This window comes from Homo sapiens, chromosome 1, assembly GCF_000001405.40.
Source record: "Homo sapiens chromosome 1, GRCh38.p14 Primary Assembly".
Classification (NCBI taxonomy): Eukaryota; Metazoa; Chordata; class Mammalia; order Primates; family Hominidae; genus Homo; species Homo sapiens.
Genome location: NC_000001.11, coordinates 181,190,765 through 181,200,461, shown reverse-complemented (window position 1 = coordinate 181,200,461; position 9,697 = coordinate 181,190,765).

The following is a 9,697-nucleotide window of genomic DNA, read 5'->3' as shown; positions in this document are numbered from 1 at the left end:
TCAAAGATCAGATGATTGTAGATGTGTGGTGTTATTTCTAAGGGCTCTGTTCTGTTCCATTGGTCTATATATCTGTTTTCATACCAGTACCATGCTGTTTTGGTTACTGTAGCCTTGTAGTATAGTTTGAAGTCAGGTAATGTAATGCCTCCAGCTTTGTTCTTTTTGCTTAGGATTGTCTTGGCAATTCAGGCTCTTTTTTGGTTCCATATGAACTTTAAAGTAATTTTTTCCAATTCGGTGAAGAAAGTCAGTAGTAGCTTTATGGGGATAGCATTGAATCTATAAATTACTTTGGGCAGTATGGCCATTTTCACGATATTGATTCTTCCTATCCATAAGCATGGAATTTTCTTCCATTTGTTTGTATCCTCTTTTATTTTGTTGAGCAGTGTCTTGTAGTTCTCCTGAAGAGGTCCTTCACATCCCTTCTAAGTTGGATTCCTAGGTATTTTATTCTCTTTGTAGCAATTGTGAATGGGAGTTCACTCATGATTTGGCTGTTTGTTATTGGTGTATAGGAATGCTTGTGATTTTTGCACATTGATTTTATATCCTGCGACTTTGCTGAAGTTGCTTATCAGCTTAAGGAGATTTTGGGCTGAGACACTGGGGTTTTCTAAACATACAACCATGTCATCCGCAAACAGGGACAATTTGACTTTCTCTTTTCCTAACTGAATACCCTTTATTTCTTTCTTCTTGTCTGATTGCCCTGGCCAGAACTTCCAACTCTGTGTTGAATAGGAGTGGTGAGAGAGGAAATCCTTGTCTTGTGCCAGTTTTCAAAGGGAATGCTTCCAGTTTTTGCCCATTCAGTATGATATTGGCTGTGGGTTTGTCATAAATAGCTCTTATTATTTTGAGATAGGTTCCATCAATACCTAGTTTATTGAGAGTTTTTAGCATGAAGCGCTGTTGAATTTTGTCAAAGGCCTTTTCTGCATCTATTGAGATAATCATGTGGTTTTTGTCATTGGTTCTGTTTATGTGATGGATTACATTTATTGATTTGCGTATGTTGAACCAGCTTTGCATCCCAGGGATGAAGCCAACTTGATCATGGTGGATAAGCTTTTTGATGTGCTGCTGGATTCAGTTTGCCAGTATTTTATTGAGGATTTTCGCATTGATGTTCATCAGTGATATTGGTCTAAAATTCTCTTTTTTCTTGTTGTGTCTCTGCCAGGCTTTGGTATCAGTATGATGCTGGCCTCATAAAATGAGTTAGGGAGGATTCCCTCTTTTTCTATTGATTGGAATAGTTTCAGAAGGAATGGTACCAGCTCCTTTTTGTACCTCTGGTAGAATTCGGCTGTGAATCCATCAGGTCCTGGACTTTTTTTGGTTGATAGGCTATTAATTATTGCCTCAATTTCAGAACCTGTTATTGGTCTATTCAGAGATTCAACTTCTTTCTGGTTTAGTCTTGGGAGGGTGTATCTGTCCAGTGTCCAGGAATTTATGCATTTCTTCTAGATTTTCTAATTTATTTGCATAGAGGTGTAGTATTCTCTGATGGTAGTTTGTATTTCTGTGGGATCTGTGGTGATATCCCCTTTATCATTTTTTATTGCATCTATTTGATTCTTCTCTCTTTTCTTCTTTATTAGTCTTGCTAGCAGTCTATCTATTTTGTTGATCTTTTCAAAACACCAGCTCCTGGATTCATTGATTTTTTGAAGGACTTTTTGTGTCTCTATCTCTTTCAGTTCTGCTCTGATCTTAGTTATTTCTTGCCTTCTGCTAGCTTTTGAATGTGTTTGCTCTTGCTTCTCTAGTTCTTTTAATTGTGATGTTAGGGTGTCGATTTTAGATCTTTCCTGCTTTCTTTTTTGGGCATTTAGTGCTATAAATTTCCCTCTAGACACTGCTTTAAATGTGTCCAGATATTCTGGTACATTGTGTCTTTGTTCTCATTGGTTTCAGAGAACATCTTTGTTTCTGCCTTTATTTCATTATTTACCCAGTAGTCATTCAGGAGCAGGTTGCTCAGTATCCATGTAATTGTGCAGTTTTGAGTGAATTTCTTAATCCTGCGTTCTAATTTGATTGCACTGTGGTCTGAGAGACAGCTTGTTGTGATTTCTGTTCTTTTACATTTGCTGAGGAGTGCTTTACTTCCAATTATGTGGTCAATTTTAGAGTAAGTGCGATGTGGTGCTGAGGAGAATGTATATTCTGTTGATTTGGGGAGGAGAGTTCTGTAGATGTCTATTAGGTCTGCTTGGTCCAGGGCTGAGTTCAAGTCCTGGATATCCTTGTTAACCTTCTGTCTCATTGATCTAATATTGACAGTGGGGTGTTAAAGTCTCCCATTATTATTGTGTGGGAGTCTAAGTCTCTTTTTAGGTCTCTAAGAACTTGCTTTATGAATCTGGGTGCTCCTGTATTGGGTGCATATATATTTAGGATAGTTAGCTCTTCTTGTTGCATTGATCCCTTTACCATTATGTGATGGCCTTCTTTGTCTCTTTTGATCTTTGTTGGTTTCAAGTCTATTTTATCAGAGACTAGGATTGCAACCCCTGCTTCTTTTTTTTTTTTTTTTTTTTGCTTTCCATTTGCTTGGTAGATCTTCCTCCATCCATGTATTTTTGAGCCTATGTGTGTCTCTGCACGTGAGATGGGTTTCCTGAATATAGGACAGTGATAGGTCTTGACTCTTTATCCAATTTGCCAGTCTGTGTCTTTTAATTGGGGCATTTAGCCCATTTACATTTAAGGTTAATATTGTTATCGGTGAATTTGATCCTGTCATTATGATGTTAGCTGGTTATTTTGCCTGTTAATTGATGCAGTTTCTTCCTAGCATCAATGGTCTTTACAATTTGGCATGTTTTTGCAGTGGCTGGTACTGGTTGATTCTTTCCATGTTTAGTGCTTCCTTCAGGAGCTCTTGTAAGGCAGACCTGGTGATGAAAAAATTTCTCAGCATTTGCTTGTCTGTAAAGGATTTTATTTCTCCTTCACTTATGAAGCTTGGATATGAAATTCTGGGTTGAAAATTCTTTTCTTTTTTTGTATTATTATTATACTTTAAGTTTTAGGGTACATGTGCACGATGTGCAGGTTAGTTACATATGTATACATGTGCCATGCTGGTGTGCTGCACCCATTAACTCGTCATTTAGCATTAGGTATATCTCCTAATGCTATCTCTCCCCCCTCCCCCCACCCCACAACAGTCCCCAGAGTGTGATGTTCCCCTTCCTGTGTCCATGTGTTCTCATTGTTCAATTCCCATCTATGAGTGAGAACATGCAGTGTTTGGTTTTTTGTCCTTGCGATAGTTTACTGAGAATGATGATTTCCATTTTCATCCATGTCCCTACAAAAGACATGAACTCATCATTTTTTATGGCTGCATAGTATTCCATGGTGTATATGTGCCACATTTTCTTAATCCAGTCTATCATTGTTGGACATTTGGGTTGGTTCCAAGTCTTTGCTATTGTGAATAGTGCCGCAATAAACATACGTGTGCATGTGTCTTTATAGCAGCATGATTTATAGTCCTTTGGGTATATACCCAGTAATGGGATGACCTGACACACTTCCCAAAACAGGTCTAAAATCCCATATCAGAAATCCTTGGAGCCAGATGCATTTCAGAACTTAGAATTTTCCAATCTTAGAGAGAACTGGAGTGCATATACTTTATACTCTGTAATCCCCAATAGGGGTCTGAGCTAGCATCTCATAATTAAACAGCCTAGTAGTTCTGCAGAGAACTGCATGAATATTCACACCAAGTATGATAAAGACTATAAAGAGGCCAGCATCAGCTCAGGTCAGGTTTTGCAACCAAAAAAGTTTCTTGCAAACAAACAGAAAACTTCAGAATCTGGAGATTTTTGGACTTCATAATGGCAGATAGGGGACTGTGACCTATGATGAATGAAGGTGTGTCCCCTCCTCCAGGCTGCTATGGGGTGTTTGGATTTGTGTCTCACTAATATTTTCTGAGCACTCACCATATGGGCACTGTTCTAAGCTTGTTTACATGAGTTGTCTCCTTTAGTTCTCAGAAGTAGATCAAAATAAGGCCTAGAGTGGAAAAGTAAGTAACCTAAAAAGTTGAACTGGAATTTAGCCTTCAGTATCTGCGATTGGCTGATAGAAGTTTCCCAGCCAGTGGGGCATTCCCAGTGTTTTTTTCCCTTCTTCCTCGACTTTTTATTTTTTGGTTACTCTTTTTTTTTTTTTTTTTTTTAAGAGACAGGGTCTTTGTCACCCAGGCTGGAGAGCAGTGGTACGATCATAGCTCACTGCAGCCTTGAACTTCTGGGCTCAAGTGATCCTCCCACCTCAGCTTCCCAAGTAGCTAGGACCACAGGCTTGCACCACCATTCCCAGCTAATTTTTGGTAAAGATGGGGTCTCACTATATTGTGCAGGCTGGGGTCTCAAACTCAAGCAATCTTCCTGCCTTGGCCTCCCAAAGTGCTGGGATTATAGGCATGAGCCACCATGCCCAGCCACAATCATACTTTCATGACAAGGTGTATTAGTCTATTTTCACGCTGCTGATAAAGACATACCCAAGGCTGGGCAATTTACAAAAGGAAGAGGTTTTTTGGACTTACAGTTCCACATGGCTGGGGAAGCCTCACAATCATGGTGGAAGGCAAGGATGAGCAAGTCACATCTTATGTGAATAGCAGCAGGCAAAAAGAGGGCTTGTGCAGAGAAACTCCTGTTTTTAAAACCATCAGATCTCACGAGACCCATTCACTATCACAAGAACAGCAAAGGAAAGACCCACCCCTATGATTCGATCATCTCCCACTGGGTCCCTCCCACAACATATGGGAATTATGGGAGGTACAAGATAAGATTTGGGTGGGAACACAGAGCCAAATCATATCATTTGGCCCCAGACCCTCCCAAATCTCATATCTTCACATTTCAAAATCATTCATGCCTTCACAACAGTCCCCCAAAGTCTCATTTCAGCATTAACTCAAAAGTCCGCAGTCCAAAGTCTCATCTTAGACAAGGCAAGTCCCTTCCACCTATAAGCCTGTACAATCAAAAGCAAGTTAGTTACTTCCTAGATACAGTGGGGTTACAGGCACTGGGTAAATACAGCCATTCCAAATGGGAGAAACTGGCCAAAACAAAGGGGCTACAGGCCCCATGCAAGTCCGAAATCCAGCAGGGCAGTCAAATTTTAAAGCTCCAAAATGATCTCCTTTGACTCCATGTCATGCTGGTGTAAGAGGTGGGTTTCTATGGTCTTGGACAGCTCTGCCCCTATGGCTTTGCAGGGTACAGCCTCCCTCCTGGCTGCCTTCATGGGCAGGTGGTGAGTGTCTGTGGCTTTTCCAGGTGCATGGTAGAAGCTGTCAGTGGATCTACCATTCTGGGGTCTGGAAGATGGTGGCCCTCTTCTCACAGCTCCACTAGGCAGTGCTCCAGTAGGGACTGTGTCAGGGCTCCCAACCCACATTTCCCTTCTGGACTGCTCTAGCAGAAGTTCTCCATAAGGGCGCTGCTCCTGCAGCAAACTTCTGCCTGGACATCTAGGTGTTTCCATACATCCTCTGAAATCTAGGCAGAAGTTCCCAAACCCCAGTTCTTGACTTGTGTGCTCTTGTGGGCTCAATGCCGCATGGAAGCCACCAAGGCTTGGGGCTTGCACCCTCTGAAGCCATGGCCCAAGCTCTATGTAGGCCCCTTTCAGCCATGGCTGGAGCAGCTGGGATGTGAGGCACCAAGTCCCTAGGCTGCACACAGCATGGGGACCCTGGACCCAGCCCACGAAACCACTTTTTTCTCCTAGGCCTCGAGGCCTGTGACGGGAGAGGCTGCTGTGAAGACCTCTGACATGTCCTGGAGACATTTTCCCCATTGTCTTGGGGATTAACATTCAGCTCCTTTTTACTTACACAAATTTCTACAGCCAGCTTGAATATCTCCTCAGAAAATGGGATTTTCTTTTCTATCACATTGTTGGGCTGCAAATTTTCCTAACTTTTATGCTCTGCTTCCCTTATAAAACTTTATAAAACTGAATGCCTTTAACAGCACCCAAGTCACCTGTTGAATGCTTTGCTGCTTAGAAATTTCTTCTGCCAGATACCCTAAATCATCTCTCTCAAGTTCAAAGTTCCACAAACCTCTAGGGCAGGGGCAAAATGCCACCAGTCTTTTTGCTAAAACATAACAAGAGTCACCTTAGCTCCAGTTCCCAACAAGTTCCTCATCTCATCTGAGACCACCTCAGCCTGGACCTTATTGTTCATATCACTATCAACATTTTTGTCCAAGCCATTCAACAAGTCTCTGGGGAGTTCCAAACTTTCTCACATTTTACTGTCTTCTACTGAGCCCTCCAAACTGTTCCAACCTCTGCTGTTGCCCAATTCCAAAGTCATTTCCACATTTTTGGATATCTTTTCAGCAGCACCCCACTCTACTGGTACCAACTTACTCTATTAGTCTGTTTTCACACTGCTGATAAAGACATACCCAAGACTGAGCAATTTACAAAGGAAAGAGGTTCAATGGAGAACTCACAGTTCCACGTGAGTGGGGAAGCCTCACAATCATGGTGGAAACAAAGGAGGAACAAGTCACATCTTACGTGAATGGCAGCAGGCAAAAAGAGAGCTTGTGCAGAGAAACTCCTGTGTTTAAAACCATCAGATCTCATGAGACCCATTCACTATCACAAGAACAGCATGGGAAAGACCTATCCTGTGATTCGATCATCTCCCACCCAGTACCTCCCACAACACATGGGAATTATGGGAGCTACAAGATGAGATTTGGGTGGGGACACAGAGCCAAACCATATCACAAGGACATTAAGTTCTTCAAGAAGTTTTAAGGATATAGCAGAGTCAGCTTCTAGCAACAGTAACAGCAAACACTTATATAGGACATACCAACACAATTTCTAGGGAGGTAAACAGAATCCTACTTTGATTAAAGCTTGGACAAAGACAATGAAGAGGCGACTCCCAGGACCTCAGGTGGTTAGATCAGGAGACTCTTAGCTCAGTTTTGCAAACAGAGGGCCTCCTTTGGTTTTCCCAGTCCATCAATCCCATTTGAGTCAATGCTTGTTAGGGAGCACCAGCCATGTGCAAGGCACCGTGCAGGATGCATTGGAGCTGGAGGCCAGGGAGTGGATGGAAAGGTAAAGAAGGGCACTCCAGACCTAAGACATTGCATCGTGTGTTTAGAGAAGGCAGAGTGGTCAGCAAGGCCAGAGCTGAGCTCACAGGCAGGTGATGGAAAACAAGGGGCTGCAAAAAGAGTCCAGGACTGACACTGACATGCTCCAAATGCCAACCGAGGGATGTGTGCCTTAGCCCCATGGTTCTGGAAACCCCCAGAACGCTATGGACAGAGGTTGCCCCATGGACACTGGAGATCCTGTCTTGCTCACAGCCATCTCCCTCGTGCCTGGAACAGTACCTGGCACGTTTATTGATGGAAGTAAAGAATAAACGAATGATTTACATTGGAGAACATACTTAAATGTAGAGCCTGTGGAAGGACTAAAGACAGGAGGACCCCATTAGGAACTCACAGCAATATGGAATCCAGGAGGCAGAGGTTCCAGTGAAACGAGATCGCCCCACTGCACTCTAGCCTGTGTGACAGAGCGAGACTCCATCTCAAAAAAAAAAAAAAAAAAAAAAAAAAAAAAGAATTCACAGCAATCATCCAGGTGAGAATTGACCAGGGAAATCAGTGGTGATGGGTACAGAGAGAAGAGCACACAATCAATCAACAGTGAGGGTGGGCACAATAGGACTTATAGACTAATGGGATACAGTGTACAGAGGACAAGAGGTGTTAAAGACACCTGGCCAGTATCCTGATGAATGAGGGAGAGGGGAATGGGCTGCTTGGGAGAAGAAACCTGTAGGGCTTGGAGATGTGAGATGCTCCAGGCCCACCCTGGAGAACAGCATGTGCATCCTCCACCGAGCAGATGTTGTGGGGAGGAGCTAGCGCGGGTGGTGAGAAGCAAATAGCGTGGAAAGTAAGAAAGAGCATGGTTACTGCAGCCTCCTGCAGAGAGCTGACAGCCTCCCTGCAGCTCTTTTCTCTGCTCACCAGGCCATGTAGCCCCTTACTCAGGGACACAGCCCTAGAGACAGAGGAGTGGCTGGATAACAGGAAGGGAAGCAGGGGTGCAAGGGAGTACAACTCGTGGTGGCAGGGTGTAGTGCCAAGCTGGGGCCTGTGGCAGCAGCTGAGGTGTCAGGGAACACAGAAGATGTGAGGACAGCCCATCTCACCAGTGGAAGCTCACAGGGAGGTTTTCAAGCCGCATCCGAGCTAGGGCTGGCAGGACCGAGGATGGATTCTATGTTTCATGGAGAGAGGACCAGGGTGGCTCCTTTCCCATGTATAGGCATATGTTTTAGGTTTGGGTGATGACATCATTATCTTGGTGTTCCCTACACCCTGTTCCAGAAATTTTGAGAAGCTGGGAGGAGCCAGGGACCTGCTCATGTCTGTGATACAGACCCCACCCCTAAACTGTCCTCTACAGATATACAGCCAGGGCAGGGGGCTCCAGGTGCCCAGGGGATGTGCTCAGGGTGATCCTCCAACAGCCAGCCCTCAGACGGCACATGGTTCCCAGGAAGGACTTTGAAAAGCTGAAATCTCAACCAGCCATGCAGGCTCCTTGGGAAGGATCCGTGCAAGGGTCCACAGGTCCACCCTCCCCAGGCTCACAGAGAAGGCCCAGGCTGAAGGGTGGACCACATGTTTCACTCGCACAGGACTATAGCTTTGGGTTTGAAAGGGACACACTTATTGAGTACCTACTATGTGCCAAGCTCTGTACTAGACACTGGGGATACAAAGATAAATGTGACATAGTCCCTGCCTTCAAGGAGTTCGCAGTTCATTGGAAAAAACTGACATAAAATCAAATAATTAGAATGCGTAAGGCCATTCTAAGGATTAAATGTAATTAATTGTAGTTAAGTGGGAGACAACACTAAGTCATTTAATCCTCACACGAACAGCCTGGGAGAGGTGGTGTTGGCCCATTTTACAGGTGAAGAAAGTGAGGTTACATTGGTGAAATCACTTGCCTCAGGTCATACAACTAGGGAGAGACACTGCCGGCGGAGTGCGGGAGCACCACACAGCCTGGTGAGAGTCACTTCTGGGCCTCTCTTCCCAGCTGTTTGCTCTGTGGTATCTCACTGGTGGCTTGAAACCTACCAACAGATGGGTCACAGAAATCAGCAAACACTACAAAGCAGGTGACAGCCTGGATTCAGATTCCAGTTTGAAACTAAAGACTCCCTCCAGTCTCCCCTAGAACATTCTCTGATTTGAACCACCCACTCCTTCTAAAAAGTCTGCCTCCCCAAGAGACTCACAGCAGCTTGCCCTGGACAAGACCAAAAAAGACAATGGATGTGGTCCGCCTTGGGAGTCCCCAAGGGCTGTGCAACAAAGTCAAGTCACCGTCCACCCTTCAGCTCTGAGCTAGAATCTCAGCAGACACATCTGGGCCAGGTAAGCCAGTGGGCCTGGGATGGGAGGGATAGAGTGGACCAAGAGGAAGAGGCGGCTGCGAGGGAGAGCGCGTTCATTTCTCTAGAACGCTCATCTGGAGAACGTGGTTAGTGTGATTAGTTGAGTAATCTCTGTCTCCCCCACCAGGTCCACAAGGACAAGGACTGTGGCTGGCTTCACTAACCACGGTA